This window comes from Homo sapiens, chromosome 4 (genome assembly GCF_000001405.40).
Source record: "Homo sapiens chromosome 4, GRCh38.p14 Primary Assembly".
Classification (NCBI taxonomy): domain Eukaryota; kingdom Metazoa; phylum Chordata; class Mammalia; order Primates; family Hominidae; genus Homo; species Homo sapiens.
In genome coordinates this window covers 99586571-99611624 of record NC_000004.12, presented here as the reverse complement: position 1 = coordinate 99611624, position 25054 = coordinate 99586571, and the positions used below count along the sequence as shown (strand labels likewise).

Genomic DNA, 25054 nt, shown 5'->3' with positions numbered 1-25054 from the left:
GACTATAAACCATACAGCCTCTTACAGATAAGGAAATCATGGGCAAAATATGACAGAAGCCACCATTAACTTATACATTCTATAGCATTACCCACAGCATATATGTTTTATTTTACCTCAGCCTGATTTCTTGCATACTTTATTAAGCAAAATCCATGAGAAGTGAGTTACCTGGCTACCGTGAAGACCAGCCTTCCCAATGTACTGAAAGATGTTCAGGTTACTTCTCCTTAGAATGCCAGAACCCGAGTAGAGAATGTCTAGGCTGTAAGTAGATGCCGAACGGGGACTACCTGATGACACACAATAACTGTAATTTAATAGCAGTTCCAGCAATGCTAAGTTGTGGGGTATGGAAGGAGAACCTCTTTTTGGTGTACATACGTTCTATGTAGCCAGTGTAGGCAGAAGAAGATCCACTCCTGGAGAAACGGTCATAATTGTGAGCGACCATTTCCTTCAGAACTCGACGGACAATTTTGCTGCAACATATGAGGAAAAAAAAAGCTGCACATTCATTGTAATGACTGTTTCCCAAGTCAAATTTGGAAAAAAAAAATCCTCAGTGGAAAAAAGAGGAAGCCAAATTTTCCTCATGCCTTTCCAAGAGCCAGGGTGGTGCCAGCTGGCGTGGTAGCATCAGGATTAGGGCTAGCCCCTTCATTACTCAGATATTTGAAATTTAGTTTGGTATCAAAATGACAGCAAGGCAAGGGTGTCCAGCTTTGAGGTGGCTTAAGTTGACTAGTAGACACATTTCAGGCATGGCAAAATTCTTTGATTCGTCATGGTTTTATTGTTTAATAGTGCATACACTTAAAGGAAAATTGTGCCAAACTGGGGAGATTGCACAATATTTCTTTAAATGTTTTTCTGCATTCCCTAATAGTCTCTCTCACTAATGACATATAACAGTACATTTCCAGTATTTCTTCTATATCTGTGAAGTTTCCAATTACAGAAACAGCTCAGTAAAACCCATATAGAAATCATCGTCTCCTCTGGAGTAAGTCTTAATCCTTACCCCATTGCGTCCATCTTGTCTAAGTAATTAGTGTTAAGATGTTCATTTCTGATTACATAACATTAATCATATCAGTAATAGCAACATTATGACAACATAGCAAAACATCAAAATAATCAATTATAGAAATCTGGTCCTAGGTCTAAGGTAGAAAATAATTGAGGGGAGGCAATGGCATCCTGAGAGGTTTCCCCTCCAATATCACTAGGTTATAAGATTTTAGCCTAGAGAAGCAAAGATGAGAAGGGTTATGACAGCTATCCTCAGATATTCAAAGGGTCTTCTTGTGGATGAATGACTAGACGTGTTTTGCTTTGCTCCTGGGATAAAACCAGAGCCAATAGGAAGATTTCAGATTATACAAAGACATAATGGTGAGAGTCTCTGAACAACACTGGCACAAGTTCCCTCAAAGATGGTGAGCTTCCTGTCATCGGGAGAGGGAAGCAAAGTCTGAATACCACCTGCTGGGAGACTACAGCCCTACAGTGGAGAGATACCAAGCAAGGGAGCCTTTAGTGTTCCTCCCCACTCTAATGTTTTTGGTTCTGAGACTCTGAACCATAATGTTGGTGATATTTTCCTCACAATTTCTAGTCTGTTCTCTACCCCACTGTCTCCTCTTTCCGGGTCCCTGAAATGCTAGAGCCATAAGACGAAGGCAGCAAGTACACCCAGGATCTCCTTCACAGGGTCTCATAAAAGCAAACAAAGAAATGGAGAAGCTAAATGCGTTCAACTAGAAATACATGGCTGCAGAGAGATTTGGCTTCTTTTCTCACTCACTTGCTCCATTGCTCTTTCCTGAATGTCCTGCTCTTATCTCTGTTCTACTCACACCCGTTTCTTATGTCTTCCTTCAGTCTTAGTCCTTGTTTCTCTTTCTTTCAACCTTTTAATGCTGTCTTTTTTCATTTTCTTTCCCTTTATTTTCCACCCTTCCAATCTCTGTGGTGAATGCTTAAATCTGATCTTTCGTGGGGGTAGTGTTCTGCATGTAACTCAGGAAAAATGAAACTTCCTTCTCTGACCCTCTAATTCCAGGGAGGAGGCACCTTGGGGGAGCCACTTTGCATTTGGGAGGACAGACTTGGTAACTGGAAGGAAATTAATTCAGCAAGAGTTATAGAGTGATGAACTCTACTGATTGCACTCTTTAAATTTTGAATCACCTTGAAATGTGGGCCGTGCCTAAGATTTTAAACTTAAATGGGAAATTTATTTGATCTGTGATAAATGAGGCTTCAAAAATTCCTAACACTTGAAATGTTACAATGAAAACCATTTGGTAAGAATTTACTTTGTTTTGTTGTACTTATTTTTAAAATCCTGTTGAAAATGCAGTTAGCTTTTAAAACATTTGGCAATATACACTTGCCAGACTGAACAAGACATCCCTACTAAAAATTATACCCAGAGTTACCAGTCATGGACTCATAGTGCCAAAGTGAAGTTGTTTCATCTGGCCCCCTAAATAGCCCTATTATGGGAAATCTGGCACTCTTTGGTTTTATGCAACGTAACCCTGCATAATGACCACATCATTATTATTAGCTACATCGGTACCCCATGAACACACAAATAAGCTTGAATACACAGAGAGACATGTGCAATGTATTATACCTTGCAGGCATTTCAAAACGTAGGATGTCTTGAACAATGGCGAGCATGTATTTATTCATTTCTTGGGGAAGCTCCCCAATAGACAGCAGGATGTTCTTGACGTCCATGTAGGATGGATTGTTATTTAAAATGATAGCAGCTGCAGCAGTGCGCACAGTCTTTTCATGAACTTTACGGTTTTGGTGGTATATTCTGTTTAAGGTCTTCTTCACCTGTTCATAAGATGTTCAAACTTAGTGCACATCTAGATTTTTAAAATGGACATTTCAGCAGGAATAGCAGGAATAGTGAGTGTTCATAAAAATATACATGTGTTACTACATTTCCCAGATTCCTTTGTGATTTGGTGGGGGCCACGTGACTAGTTCTGGCTAATACGCCATGGATAGAATCTATGAGGATCACTTCTAGGCTGAGGCCGTTAAGAGCTGGTGGCTTTCTCCATCTCTTTCTTCCATGACTGTAGTGAACTTCAGACCACATACTTCCTTATGCACATTAGGCATAGCCTGAGAAATAAACATTTTTTTTTTGAGGCAGAGTCTCGCTTTGTTGCCCAGGCTGGAGTGCAGTGGCACGATCTCGGCTCACTGCAACCTCCGCTTCCCAGGTTCAAGTGATTCTCCTGCCTCAGCCTCCCAAGTAGCTGTGACTAGAGGCGTGTGCCACCATGCCCAGCTGATTTTTGTATTTTTAGTAGAGATGGGGTTTCACTATGTTGGCCAGTCTGGTCTCGAATTCCTGACCTCGTGATCCACCCGCCTCGGCCTTCCAAAGTGTTGGGATTACAGGCGTGAGCCACCATGCCTGGCTCAGAAATAAACTTTTAACACATTGCTGAGATTTTGAGGGACATTTTTTATTGCAGCATAACCTGGTGTTACCTAACTAATATAGAATTTTAAGGATACTACATGGCATGGGGCTCTGGGGAAAGGTAGTTATATGAAGTAATGTTTCCTTACAATGAAGTACCTCAGAATCTTCCCATCTCTCTTTTTTTTAATTAATAGACTTTTTAAAGAGCAGTTTAGGTTCACAGCAAAATTGAGTGGAAAGTACAGAGAGTTCCCACACACCTTTTAACCCTACACACGCACAATCACCCCTTGTATCAACAATGCCCTCAGTGGTACATCTCTTACATTCAATAAATCTACCTGGCACTTCATTATTACCCAAAGTCTGTAGGTTACATTAGGATCCTTTTGTTTTCTAAACAAAACATTAGCATCGAAGAAAACGTGCCAAAATAATTGCATTCCATAGCAACAAGTAACTTCATTGATTATTAGAACTGCCTAATGATATTCAATGTGTAAGGATCTATACTAAGCATTTATAAATATTTCTTTAATTTCATTTCCCTTTACCTTTTACTAACTCCCTCAAATCTTGGCTTTGCTCTCAGATATGTAGATGTTAAACAAGTCACCCAAGAACAAACAACCAGGGAAGGACAGAGCCAGAGTTTATACGTAGGTCTGTCTTTCTCAAAAGCCTGTGCCCCTAACCATCATGATTTGCAGCCACCAACTTCAACACAAAACTGGTGGGAAGGTGCTTAGCTATAAACTGGAAACACCATTCTCGGCAGATGGTTTATCTTGAGATTTATAGACATTCTCTGCCCTAACAAAGGTTTAATTTAGATGGCTTCCTGAAAAATGTAGTTGTAGTAACAAACAAAGTTATACTTAAACCAGGATATTTCAGTATTGAAAAATGTAACAGCATCTTAAAACTTATAAAAGTAAATATATTTCAAAAAAGAATTTGTTTCTTAAAATAAGAGAATATGCTTCAATATTTATGCTTCAGGATATAGATATAGGACGTTACCCTGTGAGGATATTTAGAATAGCCGCAAATGCAATTTAAGAGTTATTTTTAAGCAGGAGAGAAGACTATTTGGGGAAAATACAGAGTGACTTGAGCGGAATTTGCATTTGACTCATGTTCAGCATGCTTTTTTTTTTTCTTCTGTAAATGTTGCAAATATTCTTGGAGATTTTACCTCATCAGTTATGAAAGGGAGATCATATCTCTGGAGAGCAGTGGTAGCCAGGTGGCTGATGGGCCCTTCTCCTGCTTCTGCATACTTCAGAAGACTTGGGATGCCTTCTGGAAGCAGGGCATTCTTCAAAGCCAGCAGATACATCCTGGTGTCCTCTTTTTTCTCTGCTTTTTCAAGTCCTCCCAGGATTAACTTCTTAGCTTCCACTACTGCCTGAAAAATCATATACCTTAGATATATGCATGACCATACATTGAAGAAGACTTGGGTGAGACTGGCTTTATTCTTGGGTCCAAGAAAGCAACCTACAGTTTTACAAAGTTTTGCATTGGTTGCTTGACTGAGGCACACAGTGGAATAAAAGCAAACAAGTAAAGCTTGATAAAGGTGTTATGCTTTTTTTAAAAAAAATACATATACATTCTTAAGAAGCAATGAGTATTATCAATAATGGGCATATTTTGTTTTGAACACATTTTGAATATATAAGGCCACTTTTTAATTTCATTGTGATTGGTTATTCAAAAAACTGCTCATTCACTGAATTGCTAAAGCAACAATTAGATGGAGTCTTAGTGTCACCATACACCTTTCCTTAAGTAAGAACTTGGGTGAGACCTCTTAGAGTTCAACCATAAAGTCTGGCTCTAAATGTTTTAAAAGTGTTTGTTTTCACTTAATTCCAAATTTAATTAATGCTGCAATATAGTTCAAAAAATATTTCCTCAGTACCTCCTATGTGGTAGGTACTTTACTAGGTACTTTTCAAATATGTTCTACAATCAGAAAAGTCCTTTTGTCCTAGTCTGAGAAAAAGGGGGATTGAGTGTAAGTTAATAGTTTAATGGGAAAGCAAATTAGAAATAGGGACATCTGGGTTCTGGTCTTATATTTGCCACTACATATGTTTTAGAGGCTTCAGTTTCATGTTTAAAATAAAGATTCTTTGTATGACAGAGTCTAGGCTGAAAAATTTTTTAAAAATAAAGGGTTTTAAGATCTAATTCATCCACAGGATTCATAACCTCTGAAATTAGGCTACAAGCACACACAAACACACAGACACACACATACACACACACACACACACATACATGGGGTTGGGGAGAATGGATGATATGGGGAAGAGTGGAGAAGTATTAACAAAAGGCTCCCAATAGAAGGAAAGATGCTAAACATCACACTTAATCAGAGAAGTGACATTTCTCAACTATCAAATTGGTGAAAAATTCAAAAGTTTGCTAACATATTTTGTAGGTGAGACTATGGGGAAATAGGCCTTTTCATAAATTGCTGATGAAAGCCTAAAATGGTACAATTCCTATGGAAGATAATGTGAGAAAAACAAACAGAACTGCTTTTTGACCAGCAACTCTATCCCTGAAGCTACATCTCAACAATAGCAAAAATCTGTGCCTGAGATTATTCACTTCAGTATTATTTATAACAGCAAAATAGTGGAAGCCACTTACATGACCATTCATAGGAGATATTAAATAAAACATAGTCCATAGACACAATGGAGTACTAGGCAGTTGTCAAAAGGAATGAAAAAGATCTCTATGTAGGGAATATTTTCATGATATATTGTTAAGTGAAAAATGTAAGATACAAAAAGAGTATGTATAGAATGATATATTTTGTGCAAAAAAGTATGTAAATGTGTGAACATCTGTTTACTGTTGCAAAAAGAAACATAGAAAGAAAAATTTTTTTTAATGAGTGATTTTTTTTACCTAGAGGAAGTAGGTGAGATTGGGGGAAAAGCATCGAGAAGCGATGAGACCTCTCTGTTAATACTTTTAAAACACAGTTCTGCCTTTTGAACCACATTACTATTTCACATGTTCAAGAAATAAAATTAAATCAACAGGATGGAAAATTATCAAAATTCAGTTTAACCAGAAACAAATGAAACTAAATGTCTATCAACTTGATAATATGACTAAACAGAAGAGAATGAAAAAGAATTAATCCAAGTAACTTTTGAGCATAGAACTTTGTGTACATGCGATGGAATATATTCTAAGGACAAAAAGAACTGTAAAAGTCTTGAACTTTATTTAGTTTGTTTCTGTAGTAATATCAGTATGGCAATTCCAAAAATATATTGTGTATGTTTTAGAATTGAGCAGGTGAATCAATATATTGGTGTTCTCGAAAACCACAGTTGTCACAGTGGGAGAAGGAAAATAGAATGATGAAATGAGGGAAAAAATAACCCTGTAGTGTTGAATTAGAATTAGAATTAGAGATAGCAGTGGGAACTCACAATTTGGTAAATACATGTATTTTTTTCATTGTAAGAGACTAGTTGCAATGGCACTCAAGTAATAAGAAGTAAAAGTATTTAGAGGTAAAATGTCAGATGTCTGCAATTTATTATCAAATTATTCAACTAAAATAAGACAGAAAGAGATAAAGCAAAGATGAAAATACGTTAACAACTGATGAATCTAGATGAAAGATATCTGGGTGTTCATGGAATTGTACTATTCTTACAACTTTTCTGTAGGTTTACATTTTTTCAAGTACAAATTCAGTGAAAATAAGGAATTAGGATGCCGGGAGGTCAAAACATAAGCAAAAGACAAACATAAAAAAGAAACATGTGGCATAGTACTGGTTGTGCACTTGTCTAGCTGCCATTCAGACTGTCACAGGACTGTAGCTTTTATCCTAGTAAGTTCTGAAAGGCTATAGAACTACACAGAATGGCAGGTTCCTTTTACACAGCATGCATATAGTGTGCCCAGTAGCTACCTTAAATTTGTGCTTATTTAATACAATACATAATTTTCTTTCCTTTCTTTCATATATCTTTGATTTGGACAAAACGTAGATGAGTGTTTCACAGCAGAAAATTCAAAAGAAAAACTGAACCTTTACTACAGTTCTTCTGTAGTAAATTCACTATGGCCAAATCTTATTATCCTCAAAGATGAAAAAAAATGTTTGCTCAAAAATATTAACAAAATTGAATGCCAGTGATAGTAGATGGTTTGCAGCTACCTTCAAGGTAATTTTAAAGATGTGATGAGAACCAGGCTGTCCATTATCAGAAGAACTTTAAATTTGATCCTTTGTTCTGTTTCCTTATGCTACATGACTTTCCTAGGTAACCCCAGTCTCTTTGAAGGTTTCAGCCACTCTCTATTTCTGACCCTAACTTCTCTCCTGAGCTGCAGGTGAATGTGGACACCTGCCTGTTGGACAACTGAGCCTGGTGACCCAAAGGATTTTGAACTTAACATGGCCAAAACAAACTAATAGCTCTACTCTCCTCCCACCCCCAACCAGGCTGTATAAACCTTACTTAAGTGGTCGGCATCACCATACACCTGGTAACCTCAACTGAAAGCTTTAGAGTCACCTGGATTCTTATCTCTTTCTCATTTTCCACATCTTATCAGTCACTAAATAAAGTGGCCCTTGAATGTATCTCCTCTCAGCCCTCTGCCCCTACATTAATTCAGACCTTTACTAATTCTTGCCTAGGTTATTGCAAATGCTTCCAGTCAGATCTCACTAACTCTAATCCAGTTAAACAATCAGTCCACAAAACATCTTGCTTCTTTCTTAATAAAAAATCTGAGTATGTCATTCATCCGCCTAAAGACTTCACTGTTCTCTTCTTTCTGTGGAATGAAGGCCAGACTCCTTAGCTTGTTATTAATGAAGATCTGGCTCACCTTCCATCTCTTTTCCCATCTTTCCTGTGTCTCCACTGTCACTTATCTGCCCCCAGAAACATACATATTTTATGTTCCAACCCCACAGAATTTCTCACTGTTCCCAACCATACCAGGCCTATTTTGACTTTGGGCCTTTTCATACATTATTGTATGTCTCCTAGAATGTCTTTCATTCCATACTTTGACCTCTTCACTTAAAAACCTCTTCTAGATTAAGTGCAAAAATTGTTATTTTGGTGGAAACTTCTCGAGCACACTCAAACAGAAAACGTTGCTGCATCTTCTGTATTGTCTGAGCACTTTGTTTATATTTCAATATTATTTATTTGTTTATATTTGATAAACAGACTAGGAGTTCTTTGAGGATGGTAGAATATTTTATTTATCTTTTTATTTGAGGACTAGCATCATGCCTAGTACAGAGTAGATGCTCATTAAATACTGCTGAATAGATCTTTTGATATGTGGGTTTTATCTTTTGCCAAGATATTTAATACACAAATAGCTGAAGTAAATCAGCTACTCAAATAATTATGGAAATTGAAAAATATAAGAAGTCATGCTTCCCTAATATAAAAATAATAAATTTAATTTCTGCCAGAACTTAATAAGTTAATACCCAAGCCTTTTCAGTACTACTGTTTTTAGTGATCTTTTTCATACTTAATGTATATTCTAGTTTTGGCTTGCCTCTTTTGGGACCATTTGGTTTCAAGAACATTTTCCCTACTATTTTTAATAGCAAGCACTTAGTAAGCAAAATGATATATAGTGCTGTCTGAGGTAGAAAAAATGCTGATGGGACACTGGCTGTATAATGTGGACAGAAAAAAAGACTATGTTGTTATATATTTAGCATCTTTATTTGCATTATAGAAAGATGGACTGTGTTAGACATTAATCTATTTTGGTTTTCCATATTTAGTTATACTTAAAAAGTGTTTTTGCTTTTTGCTTTTTAATAAGAAAGACGTGAAAATTGATAGTCCACTCAGGCAAGTGGAAAAGCTTTAGGCAAATGAAATTGAAAATAAAATATAAAGTTCTCTGTGATTAAAAGTAACTAAATTTCTACTATCAAAACTTAAAACTGGAAACCACACTTACTATATACAAAGTTCTACTCTAGGAGATAGACTTAGAGTCTAATATTTCTCTGAAAACAAGAAGTATATCATACACACCATTTAAAACTGAGTACATAGTGGGCACTCAATAAAGTATATGGGTAGGGAGGTTATTGTACTATTCACTTTTTAGCAAGTCTTTATTAAATATTATCTATGTACCGGGAACTGGTGAGCAATTGGTGTTGAAAAAAACTGAGATCCATTTCTTCATGGAACTTACATTCTAGTGAAATAGAAATATACAATAAACATAATAAATGACTGAATTTTAATATATGTTAGATGGCAAAAATTGCTATGCAAATAAGGTAAGTAGAATAGAGTAAAGAGAATTAGGAGTGCCAATAGTAGGCAGCATGGTGAGTATCAAATGGACAATGGTGTAGAATGATGTAATACATGAGATTGGATTTGCACTTACTTTGAGTTTGCAGCCTTCATTCTGACACAACTTTCTGACAAGTGTCCCAGTGATGATCATAACAGTTTCTCTGATGTCACTGCTACCAATAGAACCTTTGAACTTACTCTATTAACCAAACAGGGATAAAATAGGTTACCAAGACATTTAAATATTTCCAAGGAACACTTTTAGTTAAAAAATAAACACATACTTGGTAAAGTATTTTTATGTTTCTAGATTGCAAACTCAGAATTTTGCTTTTGAGACACTTACACATTTGCTATCTAGCTTTGAATTGAAGAGTTAATCCCCTTTTCAGGGATTTTTAACCTGTGGTACAGGGAATTCTTAACCCTGGAAATTTATGGATTGGATTCATGGGGTCAATGAACAAAAAAAAAAAAAAAAAAAGGAGGGGTGAGGGTTATAAAATTTTATGTATGAGTAAAAAGGGGCCTCATCACTTTTATCAGATTCTGAATGGGTACATTTTCCATAAAGATTATGAACTATTCCACTAGATCATAGGTAGACAAGTGCAATTAAATAGATAACATTCTTGGACACAAGAGAAGTCTAGCTTTTGTTTTCAACATAAATCTTTAACAGCAGAAGAATTGTATCTCTTCAATGTAGGTGTATTAAATATCATGAGAATTTTTGAAGTCAAAACAAATCTTGTAAAATTGATTACTGAAGCATAAGCTAGATTTCTCCCCTCTGAAATTCTGTCCTATGCTATATAACATGATAGGTGAACACAATCTTTAAATTTCCATATAGTTTATACTACTTACTGAAATTACGAAAAAGGCACTAACTGAAATAATTTATTATACAGTTAATAATTAGTGGATAGAAAATACCCCAATTTGAATATGAATACTCAGAAGTCTCTAGTTGATAGCCTTCATTCAGATCTAAGAAACTTTTAATTACTGTTAATATTCTTAAGAAGTTTTATAGGAGTTGAGGGTCTTTATTTTCTATTTGACTTACAATGAGGGCTCTCAGGAGTTCTTCATTGGGATGAGAAGCAAATCCACAGGCATAGAGAAACCTCTCCTGGAGGATAATGCTGCTGTCACTTTTGAAATCCAAAAAGTCCAAAATGGCTTCTAATGAGTCTGAGGTCTGAGCAGAGGTGACAGCATCCACCAGCTGAGGTCTATAAAAAAAGGCATAATCATGGATATCAATGTTTAGGGGAAGGAATACTTAAAAATCTCTACCATTCACAGAGTTTCTATTGGTTTGAGTTTTCTCAAGAAGTGATTTTTTTTTTAATTTGAACAAATGAAAAAATGATTAAGACTTTCTCAAAAAGACCCCTCCCCATTTTATTTTAATTTTCTCCTTGAACGCCCCTCTCTCTCACTCAAACAATGTATACTCAGAATATACAAACTAATTTTACTATATTAACCTAAGCCAAGTATAATTTGGCGATTTGTAAGTAAAAATTATATAAATACAATTATAAATTAAGTTCAAATTCTTTCCTATATGAGTAATACATAAAAGCTATGGGTCCCCAAATTTATTCTCTTTCTTTAATTAGCTTTGCAAACAAACCTATTTCAGAAGTGCCTAATTGAACTAAAGCAGTATTATTTGATGGAAAATCCTTTAACCTTAAATCCAAGGGGAAAGGTTTTCCTCTTTTTAAAAATAAAAACACACCATAGTATAGTTCTATGTTTAACCACAATGAATATGTGTGAACAGAATGGAACCCCTACAGGAAAACTCTAGTTATATATTCTAGTCATCAAAAATCTTTGGCTTTTTGAGCCCGGGATGGTAAAACTTCTAAAAATAGTTGTCATACTAATTAACACATGTATGTAAATATTACATACTACCCCTATATAAGCACACCAGACAATGTGACATGTGCTTAGTAGTTTATACTTTTAAAAAATGATATACTTGTACTATTTTGATCATAACAAAAAACTAGTGAATTAAGCTTAGATAACTAGAAGACATAATACTTATTGAGTTTATATTGTGCAAGCACTGTACTAAAAATTTTATGTGTCTAATCTCTAAGTTCTTCATCTGTAAAATGAAGCCAAAGTAGTATTTACCTCAGGATTGTTGGGAGGATTAAATTATGTTATCTCTGTAAAACATTCAGAAGAGTGCTTGACATATAGTAAGTGATTGATAAATATTAGCTGTTACTAATACTACCACCTCATTTAATCCACTGAACATCTCTGTCAGTTTAATATTAATATTCCCCTGTACATGCTAGGAAACAGACGCAGATATACCTAGTCATTTGTTCAAGGTCATATAGCTGGTAAATGGTAAATGGCATTGCTGGGATTGAAACCTAGGTTTTTCTGACTCTGGAGTCCATGGTTTCTTAATTATAGTGATGTTTCTCAAAGTGTTTTCCATGTTAACACTAGTCTTACAAAATGCTTTAAGAAAAGGGATTTTCAAGATCATGTGTTTTAGAAAATATTCAAAACTTACCAGAATATTATCTGATTAAAGATACTGAAAAGTTCTGCAACAGAGAAATTAACAAGGTTTCATCCAGTTTTGCAAACTCAGTTGCTCACAGAATCTTTTCCTTTTTGCATACCTGTTAACTTCCTGCAAATTACAGGATACAACATATAGGCTTTTTGGGAAATGTTACATTCCACCACCCTGCCTCTCACTAGCCTACAATAAATAGAAAGAATTATTATCCCTATTTTACAGATGTTGAAAGTGAGGCTCAGAGAAGCTAAATATAAAAGACTTCCTTGGCCATGTGCGGTGGCTCACGCCTGTAATCCCAGCACTTTGGGAGGCCGAGGCGGGTGGATCACCTGAGGTCAGGAGTTTGAGACCAGCCTGACCAACATGGAAAAACCCCATCTCTACTAAAAATACAGAATTAGCCGGGTGTGGTGGCACATGCCTGTAATCCCAGCTATTCGGGAGGCTGAGGCAGGATAATTGCTTGAACCCTGAAGGTGGAGGTTGTGGTGAGCCAAGATTGCGCCATTGCACTCCAGCCTGGGCAACAAGAGCGAAACACTGTCTAAAAAAAAAAAAAAAAAAAAAAAAAAAAGACTTCCTTGAAGGATATACTGTTGTTGGAGGTCAGAATTTAAACTAAATTTTCCAATTTTAGTTCATCTTAGTATCCTTTCTATTACACTACACTACATGTGTGTTGCATGTTATATGGTTCAATATTGTATAAATAATCTGATTTAGAAAATACATCATGCAGTCCTCCAAATTATTGCTGCCTTAAGATTTTTAGGATACAGATAATGCTAATAAGGTTTAATGTAATCTCTATTCTAAATTAATACCTAATTATTCCACTTTTATTCTCAGTAATGTCTGCCTTTAATGTTAAGACAATGCCTATGTACTTTGAGAGTGGTAAAATTTTTAAAGAATCTTAAAAATATAAAAAATAATGTTAAGACAAGTCCCTCTACCAATATATTTTAACATGCTGTAATTAAAACAGAGCCTGATAATTTATGATTTTGCTTCTTTTTCAATTTCTGGTTTATTTATTTTTGAAGAGAATAACCAACTTTGATTAGTCATTTGGAATTCCTATCAATTTTTTAATGTCCTTAAGGCAAGTAAATAAATGCAATTGAGCATAAACAGACTTTTCAGAAAAAAGCTGCAATTTTCCTCCTGTTGGGGAATTCAGTTCTTTGAACTCAGTGACTGCTACTGCTGTGTGTGTGTGTGTAACTTGGCTAATTTCCACTTTTGATTATGTTAATGACTGTTTTTCACTGTTTGTCAAATTAATTGGGCCTTGTTCTATATCATCAATTAGGATAATTGGTATCATAAGCTCAATTTGTATATATACACAAATTCTGTATGATAGACTAAAAATACATTCTATTTAGAAACAGATGCAATGTTTTGGGGAAAAATTAAGTCAACTCTGTTTATTACACATGTAAAATGGATCATAGTTTCACCAAATATTAAGTAACATATGGATTTATTTTCTCCAGATTCTTTTCACCATTCGCCTCAGTTCTCAATTTTTTACATAAAACATAGTTTCAACTGGCTGTTTAGTGAAATCACATTTTCAACTGAAGAAGTCAAACCCTTTTTGTTGTTTTCTTTTAAATGAACTCAAATCTGTTCAGGTGTCAATTAACAGCATGAGGAACATAATTTCAAAAACAGCGAGGCAGCACATGCCCCACGATGTCACGACGAAGCCTTGCCTTCACTTATCTATGTACCAATCTAGTCCTGATTTAAACTCATAAACACAACAACATGTTTATTCCTAGTCCCTGCTGAAAATCTGCTATTGTATTTCTGGTCAAGTGACCATTAAATTACTGCACTGTGGCATAACTTTTCGATGAAAATGTAGTACAAGAAAATAATTGTTTTGGTGGTGGGGCAGTTGGTTTAAAAGGGGTCTTTCTTACTTCAAAAAACCAACAATCCAGAAATGTTTCTGACAGACAACCCCACACAAAGGTTGGGGAACTTACAATACTTCCTTATTTTCCATCTTTAGTATTTGAAGGATCTCTTCTTTCTTCGCAGTCCTGAGGTGCTGAATGAAGGCCAGGAAGTTTCTGACAGCCTCAGCCTTGGAAAGGTTGTCAGGCTGCAGGTATTTCCTGGTGGACCGCCAGAGCTCCGAGAGCTGCAAAACATACACTGCAGGCTCATACCCCACTCATAACTGTGAACATCCACATTTACAAAGGGTGTTCTCCTAGGAATAAAATGTCCCTTGTGTCTGAAGCGAAAGCAGCTTTTTGTACCTTACCTCAATACACATGACAGTTCCCTGCCCATATCATACCCCTGGGACTTCCATCCACTCTGTGAACCATTCCTCTATAGGAGGACTGTTTTTGTCTATTCATATTTAGCTTGAAGATCCTAGGGCAATAATTAACTGGTTTCTGGGTATATAGGTCATTTCACGGCTACACCAAGGGAATTTATCCGAGGCCAGGCTTTGACTACCATAGTGCAATTTAAATTGTGCAGAACTTTAATTAACAGCAAAATATTTCAGAGATAAAATAATGAGAACTGCTGAAGAATTGCATCAGGTTTCTAATTTACCTGCACCTCACTGAAAATCAATTTTTCGGTGAGCTCCCTATTCTCTCTCTTTATTTTATTATTTGTACAAAATTCAATGTTTTGCTGTTGCTAAGGTCTGAATTATTCATTTCTTATATCTATGTTTTTTAGAGTAGCATTTAGATAAAGGTAATTCTCACACACACTAAGTTATTCTATTGCGGTTTTAAAAATAATATTAGGTTGTCACAAAAGTAATGGCAAAAACCACAATTACTTTTGCAACAACCTAATAAATAGTTCTAATTAACAGCATCTCTCGGCTTTGAAACTAACTGAAGAACTTATTTTTCATACTTTACTACTTTCCCCCCTAGTTTTATGAAATCCTATCAGTGACTACTAACTCTCTAACTCTATAGTAATAACTTGCTGCCAGTTTTTAAATTATTCATTACTTTTAATAAGCAATGGATCCTTTTTTTTCTCTTTTTCAAGTGCCTTTTAGCTATGTAATCTTAAGAAGATATTCCAAGTGAAATTCCAGCTGCACTTAGCTAAAGATTTACTGGGTCATTTCTGAAGGCAGAGAGCATATCAATATGAATTCAGGTGTTTTTGTTTTTGTTTTACTTTAAAGGGCTGCAATAGAATTTACAAAAGCAAATTTGGAATTTGGAATTCCAAATTTGGAAAAGCAAATTCCTCAATAACATAAATAAATCATTTTCTATAATAATTAAGAAATAATTATCAAAAATCTTAGATGGCTCATAATGTTTAATATCTATGGGAGAGAAATTAATAGTGCAGAGCATAAGAAAAGTTTAGTTTTATTAGCCACCTTCCTAAATAATTTCCATCTCATACAGCATTAGAAAATTACATTAGAACATTAAATGACATATGAAAAAAAAAACAGGTAAAAGAAGAAACAATGTTTGAAAATGATGATTTTGTGTTTTAAAATGTTTCCTTTTTCCTCTAACTCAATTTCAGAAACTAATAAGCAATTACTGTCTTGTACTTTAAGCAAATTATGGTATTACATCTTGATGATTTCACTTTTCTGAACACCAGTAATACTGAAGGAAAGAGCATCTCCCTATAGTTACACACAGAGCATGAAGCCAATGGTTTGCTCTTCTGACAAGAGATTACAGATAAGGAAATGCTGGGTGGTAAGTCATTTCTCTGAATGTATATCATAACTGATTCATGCAATAAAAGGAAAATTTTCTTTGTTGGATTAAAAATGTTACAATGATCTACACTTTGCCCTGGGGATGAGATATCGCATTTCTGACAGGAATTGTAGGGGAAACTGGGGTAAATAAATGTTTCCTAATTTAGGCAAAGATCCTGGTATCCTTTTTCAGTCCTTGCAGCAATAATCAGAACACTGAGGCCAGTAAAGTATGTCACCTGTGGACAAATAACTATTATGTGACAGAACTTTCAAGGTTCAGCCGTTGTCCACATTCTTGACACCATATGCTTCCCCCTAACTTCATTAAGCCCTCTATCCTCCCTGAATTCTAGATGTGACTTATTAAAGGCTGCCCTTGAGTTATAACACTTTTTGAGAGGAATGAATGGTAACTATTTGTTAATTATTGATGTGTCATGCACTATGTCAGGTGCATATTGTGAGACTGCTGTCATCACAACTCTGTGGTAGCTGGTAGTTCTTTAGAAACTGTCTTCATTGAATGAGTTGATGCTTTCACTGGAGACAAAATGAAAACAGAGTCTGATGTCATGATTATTCCCATATTTGTCTGCACTTACAGAAGGACATCCTTTACAGTGGCTCTGGAAGACCTGCCCCACAATGGGAATGGCCGTGTACTTTGAATCAACTGCTTTGATTATGGCTGCAGCCTGCTTTCCAGACATCAATCTTGGGCCTGCTTCGGTTGTCTTCAGCTCTAATTTCTGCCTGCATAATACCAAAGGGAAATGCTATATTATAATCATTCTTTTGAGTGAACAAGATACTAATTGCCATTCTTTTGGCAAACAAGATAGTAATTTATTCAAGTTGTATATAGCCATGTCTTTCAAACTGTGATATCTCCAGAGGTAACTGAAAGCTCATTATGAAGTCTTTCTGGAGCAACAATTATATTAAAAGATTTGAAAATTTAAGTTTGCATTTTCAAAATATTATTTCAACAGTATACAGGGAAGAAAAATTGCCTGGATGATGAATAAGATATGCAATGTCAGCTCTTTTGAATTTAGCCCAGCTTTCTGAAAATGATATCGTCAATACAACCACGTGTTACTTATTAACCAAGACAGCTAGAAAATCTTATTTTCCAAAAATAGTCTCAACTCTATTTTTGTCTGACATGCTCTTCCAGAACCTGTCTGTCATCAAAAGGTAGGGTCTACATCCCTCTCCTTGAACCTGGGTAGGACTCTGTGACTGCCTCAACTAATAGAGGAGACTGAAAGTAACACTGTGTGATCTCTAAGGCTATGTCTTAAAAGAGAATTCAGCTTTTCTCTGGCACACTATCAGTACATGTGCTTCGGAGCCTTGAGCTACTACATAAGAAGTCTGACATGAAGCTGCAGTGCTGAGAGGCGACAGGGAAATAAAGATAGTTGCATGAGGAGCCTCAGATGTTTGAGTCTTTCCAGCCCATGCACCAGATACATGGGGGAACCACCTTTGAATAGTTTGACTGTCTGAAACTACATAATAGATGCCTAGCAAGGCCAAGGCAAGCCTGTAAATTATGACAGAGAACAGTACAGTGATTGTTGCATTTTATACCACTAAATCTGGGGTTGTTACATAGCAATGGAAATCTCATAGGCCTGATAAGTTATTTAAAATATTTATTTTATATGAAAATATAATAAAACACTATAGATATACCAGTAGTATATGAAGTAGAATGCAAAATTCTATTCCAGATGAGACTTCTATAAAATTTCAAGCATTTTAATCAGGCATTTTTACTACTATTTTGCATCTATTTGGTGCTAATATTACAGCTACTCCAGAGAAATTTTTTGAGAAGCAATGGCATAAGGTATAACACATTCACTGCTAGAAAACATTGTTTTCTGAATTAAAATCTGAAAATAACAGAAACTCTAAGATTTAACATTCTAGTTCTTAATCCTGTTAGAACAATTCTGTCCAGAGAATGGTCTTCAAATGATAAACAGGCCTAAATATTTAAGTTGCATAAGTCATATCAAAAATTTTGTCACATCTCTTCACTACGGAACTTTTTATGTTTTTTAACAACAATTTTTTTTAAAAACTCTTAAAAATTACAAATGCTACCACTTTTTTACCTTAATATTAAAAACATTTGACAGAGAAATTAGAAAATGAACTAGAATGAATCAAGTAGTTTGTCTTTTTAAAACTTAAAACCTGTTCAATAAATAATTGATTTTTAATACAATTTTATTTAAAAAGTAATTATTTACCATGTGCCGTGAATTGTTGTAGATGATGTAAAAAATAAAGATGAACAAGATATAATCACTATTTTCAAGGAGCTCACAGTTGAAATGAGGAAGCACAATAAATACAGTCATGTGCTGCACAAGGACATTTTGGTCAATGATGGACCCATGTACAAAGGTGGTCCCATAAAATTATGAAGCTGAAACATTCCTCTTGCCTAGTGACATCATAGCTGTCCTATCATCACAGTGCAAAGCATTACTCACGTGTTTTTGTCGATGCTGGTGGTTAACACACCTACTGTGCTACTGTTATATAAAAGTATAGCACGTGCAGTTACGTACAATACATAATACTTGATAATGGTGACAAATGATTATTACTGATTTCTGTGTTTATTATACCACACATTTTATTATTATTTTACAGTGTACTTCTTCTACTTATTAAAAAAATTAACTGTAAGACAGCCTCAGGCAGGTTCTTCAGGAGGTATTCCAGAAGAAGGCATTGTTATCAGAGGAAGTGACAGTTCTATGTATGTTATTGCACCTGAAGACCTTTCAGTGAGACAACATTTGGAGGTTGTAAGTGCCTTCCACTGGAGGAAGACAGTGATATTGATGATCCTGACCTTGTGTAGGCCGAGGCTAATATATATGCTTATGTCTTAATTTTTAACCAGAAATTTTTAAAAGAAAAAAATAAAAATAAAAAATTTAAAAATAGAAAAAAGCTTATAAAGATTTAAAGAAAAAATATTTTTTGTACACCTATACAATGTGTTTTAAACTATGTGTTATTACAGAGTACTTCAAAAGTTAACAAAAATTAAAAAGTTTTTAACGTAAAAATATTACAGTAAGCTAAGGTTAATTTATGATGGAGGAAAAAAGTTTTTTAGAAATTCAGCGTAGCATAAGTGTACAGTGTTTATAAAGTCTACAGTAGTGTACAGTAACGTCCTAGTCTATGACATTCACTCAGTGCTCATTTGGTGATTCATCCAGAGCAACTTTCAGCCCTGCAAATTTCACTTATGTACCTTTTATGAATAAAGGTACACCTACATAGTATCTTTTATACTGTATTTTTCTGCTGACTTTTTCTATGTCTAGATACACAAAAACTTACCATTGTGTTTAATTGTCTACAGTATGCAGTACAGCAACATGCTATACAGGTTTGTAGCCTAGGAGCAATAGGCTATACCATATAATGTAGTGTAGGCTATGCCATCTAGGTTTGTGTATGTATACTCTATGATGTTTGCACAGTGATGAAATTGCCTAACAATGCTTTTCTCAGAACTTATTCCCATTGTTAAGCAATGCATGACTACACGCGCACACACACACACACACAAACACAGATCTATTTACAAATCAAGTATAATAATATAACAAAGAATAGCAAAGAAAATAAAAATTTTAGCATTATCTTACTTCGATACTATTTTCCCCTTAATGGTTTGTAGGAAATTCAGTCCAAAATTGTGTGTTTCTTCAGCAAGCACAGCTATAACAAAGCTGTCTTCTATCTTATAGGTGGTGACAGATGTAGCTTTTGAACTGACACCCAAGACCTAAATAAATAAATAGCCATCTTTATAACAAGTAATCATCGTTTAAATTATTGAATCAAGTCAAATAGCAAACTGTCTTTCAGTCTACAAACAGCTTCCCCATTACACCCATCCCTCATTACTAACACCTACAACAATTGAAATGGGTCTATTCATTACATATGTGTGAATTTGTAGCCTAAACTAAAAATTACAAATGTTTCAAAATTCTATTTCTACTTTATTTTTCTATTACATTAAATTAGTCTCTACAAAATGTAATTATTTTAATGCCTCAAAGAAAGTGACATCTATCATACCTGATTTGGGGTCGTAAATCCAGACCTCGCTATTTTGCATGAATCCAAGGCCTTAATTTTGATCACTTTGTCTTGATGAGCCTGGTAGGTCACTTTACAATTTCCAGAGATATCTACCTAAAAAGAAAGGCAAGGGCATAATGCTTGGGATTCCTTGTGGGCCATTTGAATTCTAGTGAGAAGTGGCTTGAAAATTGAGGTCTCTAATAGGCCATAGGGGACTTTTTTTCTCCCCCAGGATGATAAGATACAAAGACAAGAACAAGGTTTCTGGTAGCTCATTGATTCCCTCCCATTCTCTTTGGTTGAGTGTCTTAATAGCGCCTTCTCATTTTTTTTCACAAATAATGTGGGATTTCCTACTTCTCTCGAAATCCAATTAAAATTAGACAAATGGCCTGGTAATAATTGAAACTTTGGATAAATGGGTAATTCTGTGGCAAGGGAGTTGATTGTTAATGCTGTATCTAGATTCTGTGTGTGTGTGGTGTGTGTGTGTGTGTGTGTGTGTGTGTAACTTCAACTAGCTGAACATGATTAGAAATTCTTAAAATCCTGTGGGATTAATTAAAATCCACTGGGATTAACTCAAATCATCATTAGCTACATCATCAGTTTGAGTTTAGGCAAATGTATCCCAATACAGACTCTGTCTAGCTTCTCTGAGCTTTTTCCTGGGGCCTCTGCCAGCATCACAGAAGCAGAGGTCTCTTTTCTAGCAAGCTAACCAACATTCTTTTGGTCCAACCCTACCATCAGATTTTTCACCCACTCATGGGCTGGTTGAATTCAGTCTAAGAAACTTGGACTCCAGCCTTGACTCCAGGTATGATACTGGAAGATCCACCTAACTTCTCTAGTTTCTTCTTTTGCAAAATGAACAGTGTTGGTATAGACCAGTGGTTCCCTACATTGACAATGCATCCAAATAATCCACAAAGACTGTTAAAATACAGATGTTTGACCAAGCGCGGTGGCTCATGCTTGTAATCCCAGCACTTTGGGAGGCCAAGGCGGGTGGATCATCTGAGGTCAGGAGTTCAAGACCAGCCTGGCCAACATGGTGAAACCCTGTCTCTACTAAAAATACAAGCCGGGCATGGTGGCACACGCCTGTAATCCCAGCTACTTGGGAGGCTGAGGCAGGAGAATCGCTTGAACCTGGGAGGCAGAGGTTGCAGTGAGCCGAGATTGCGCCATTGCACTCCAGCCTGGGCCACAGAGTGAGACTCCATCTCAAAAAAAAAGACGTTCGGGTCCTCCCCGATCTACTGAATCAGAATCTCTGGGATGAATATAGGGAATCTATATTTGTAACAAGCCCCTCCATGGTACAGTGGTGCACAGTGATATCTGGGAACCACTGGAATGATCCCCACGAAGCTCCTTTAGTATAAATATTTCTAATCCTCTCTACCTTGTAATTAATTAACAAAACATTGGGATAAATGGCAATTGTTTCATAGGCAAATGCGACTTCACTACACAAGTCACCTTTTCTGAGCATTACCTTAGTAGTAACTCTTCTACTGAAATTGTATAAGTAGAAATCCTTACAAATTTTATTGAGATGCTGAATCCTTATTAATATTGGTAAGTACCTCATTGGTGGTTCCAGAGCTTAACTGTGTCTGAAATAGGCTAGCCAGACCTCTCTTGATATTTTCTATGGCCACTGCCTCATTTTGATATGAGTAGAACTCTTTGACCTGGTGGGGAGAGGGGAACAGAACACAAATGAAGCAAAAATGCATCATTTATCAGATTTAAATAAGTGTCAGGCAAGGTCAGATTCTTACCTGTATTAATCCTGGGAGAAAGAGATCTGACACTCCAAATCTGGAATTTCCTTTTTGTGAAAAGAAGCTATTTAAATCTCTGAGACCATCAGAATATGAAGTTTAGGGAGACCGATAATGAAGGCTCTTGCATGATGGGCACAGCATTGGGAGAGAGCACTGATATAGGCTGGGAGCCTCATGAAAACAAGGATGGCCCAGGGAAGAGAAATGATGAACATTCTGTTTGAACATGTCAGCATGTTCTCTACCTGTAACTGTACTTGAAACAAAAAATAACTAAGGTTTAAAATAATAGCAAATAAAAAAGTTCTTGGACGAAAATGGCAATCACTACCTTTGAGATTCCTGAGATGGCACAGCCTTTATGGGCTATTGCAAGGCCCCAGGCATGGCCATAATACCCATGGTCAACATTTCACAGGGGCAATGTTTTCCACCCTCCAGAGCATTTATATTGGTATTGGGTAAAAAAAAAATATATATATATATGAATATATATATGAACATATATATGTGTGTATATATATGAACATATATATGTGTGTATATATATGAACATATATATATGTGTGTATATATATGAACATATATATGTGTGTATATATATGAACATATATATATGTGTGTATATATATGAACATATATATATGTGTGTATATATATGAACATATATATATGTGTGTATATATATGAACATATATATATGTGTGTATATATATGAACATATATATATGTGTGTATATATATGAACATATATATATGTGTGTATATATATGAACATATATATATGTGTGTATATATATGAACATATATATATGTGTGTATATATATGAACATATATATATATGTGTGTATATATATATTCAGAAGGCTGGAAAATTTGAGGTTGAGATTGCTACTGCTGCATAACCTGCCCCAGGCACTGCTTTGAGGTTACCATCAGAAGGCAGAGAAAGGAGGTTGAAATGAGGAGGGTGACTATGATTTGGCAGGAATAGTAAGCCACTTAGTTTTGTTTTATCATCTTTGATATTTATAGGCACAGAGATGATAAGTGTCTTTTGCCATTTTGATAATTTAACTAATGTTTAAGAAACAAGGATAAAAGTACAAAGTGAATTTAATGAAAATCAGCTTGTTGGTTTTCACCCTGTAGACTTGATATGCATCACACAATTTAGAAATAGAGGATAGATACATGTTCCCTGTAAAAATTCCCAAGGTCTATGATAATTATAGCTGAGCATTTCTACCAGAAATATCCTGAATGCCTTCCTAGTACTCTTTAAAACCAACCATAGCTTCTAAAGTAAAACATAAAGCTCAATAGCTATGCAATGAATCCAAATAATACCAAGCTCAGTAATTTAGTCTACATGAAAATTATCTTGTGCCTTAGAAGAAGAGAATACTTTTCCTGAATTATCCAAACAAGTGTCTCAAATCTCTATTTTTACTTCCTACATATACTCTGCCTAGTGATGGATTTACTAGGTACTTTATCTGGCAATCAGTTTTAGTCATTAGACTGGACTAACCTATAAATGTTGGAATAGTGTTTGTCCGACTTAGAAAGGAACTGGAATAATGACCTCAGTGTCTGAAAATTCACAGTATCATATTCTCAAACAAATCACTGGCAATATCTCAGACCCAAGCCTGAGTTTCTGAAGTTCTATTTTGTAAACTATATCTCCTTCCTCTAATAATCACAGTGTAATTTCCTTTTCAAATATTTGGAAGTGTATCTCCAGGTATCATGACCATTAGAAGTTCATAACTAGATTGCCCCAAAATAGTCAGAAGTGTTCACTCAGTGGCAATGCACACATGTCTATATGGCCCATGTCTTTTTGGTATGAACCTTAAATACTTTAGAAAGCAAGATCTCCTAAGTGGGAAAAATACCAGTATTGTCACCACTATGTCACTTTCCTTCCAGGCTACAAAATGTATCTGAGCTATTTTTAAAGTTTTACCTAAAAGGTAAGGAAACCCAGTTCTTGGATTTAATCTTTGGACTGTGCATAAGGTTCAGTGCTTATCTGTTACTGACCCACTGCAATGGATCAAGTTTTGATCTTGACCTCTGGATCCCTTAGAAAATGGTGTTAGAGCCTTTTTTCCCTCCTGGCAGGCTGAATGATAGATATAAACTGTGAAACACAATGAAAAAAGTTTTTTTAATCCTTTCTATTAGTTTTTATTGCTTCCCCAGAACTAGAAAAATGAACACATCTCTTTTTCTTTTATATGACTGCTACTTCTAGGGCCTAAATTCTGTTTCTTTAGTGTAGACTGATGAGATCCAAAGTGAAGATAGTACTGATATCCATACCAGCTAAATGTCAAAACTGTTAGAATTGAGCTGCCTTGTAATCATTTAAAAAATAATAATCTGAAATCAGAATTTTGCATTTCAAGCCACATGGCTGTCACAGCAATAATCTTAAATTTATTATTTCACAACAGGAACTGAGTAAGTTTTATTATACTCAGGCCATAAAGTTGATTACTTCATTCAGCAATGAAATTAGTTCTGAACATCCAAGAGCACAGGTTCTTATCTAAATTTACAGTACTCAGAGCTTCCAAAGAGCAGCAGCAGGTATGACCTGGTTACAAACGAAGTCTTTAACCCAAGGAAACCACAGCTAGAGGGAGACTGGGTAAAATGGCTGGGAAGGTGGTACAGTGCCTCTTCCAGCCAAATATGAGGGGCCAGTTTCCTCTTGAAATAGGTAGGCATCATTCATATTGTTTTTTCCTTAGGAAGAAGATGCCTTTCTCCACACCTTCCTTTATATTTATTTTAAGAATAAGAGGAGACTAAATTCCATTAAGTGGCCAAACAATAAAAATAATAAAAAGAATCCCAGCAAACAAAGATTAGTAATTTTATCTTTGATATCTATCTAAGACAGAGCATGGCTAGGAAATGACACACTGGAGAACAAACAAGTAAAGAAATATACAACA

General features: G+C 35.4%; 1 protein-coding gene across 3 annotated transcripts in view; it reads right to left on the bottom strand.

Moving 5' to 3' along the window:
• MTTP (microsomal triglyceride transfer protein) overlaps nt 1-25054 on the bottom strand; it is a 59868-nt gene that overhangs the window by 12373 nt on the left and 22441 nt on the right. For all 3 annotated transcript variants that reach the window (NM_000253.4, NM_001300785.2, NM_001386140.1), the window contains 11 exons: nt 21875-21982; nt 20274-20390; nt 19835-19974; nt 16742-16892; nt 14401-14558; nt 10892-11060; nt 9911-10018; nt 4665-4877; nt 2648-2859; nt 385-482; nt 172-293 (listed from right to left, as the gene is read on the bottom strand). In NM_000253.4, coding sequence (NP_000244.2) covers nt 172-293; nt 385-482; nt 2648-2859; nt 4665-4877; nt 9911-10018; nt 10892-11060; nt 14401-14558; nt 16742-16892; nt 19835-19974; nt 20274-20390; nt 21875-21982 — 1596 coding nt within the window. The remainder of the gene's footprint in view (nt 1-171; nt 294-384; nt 483-2647; nt 2860-4664; nt 4878-9910; nt 10019-10891; nt 11061-14400; nt 14559-16741; nt 16893-19834; nt 19975-20273; nt 20391-21874; nt 21983-25054) is intronic.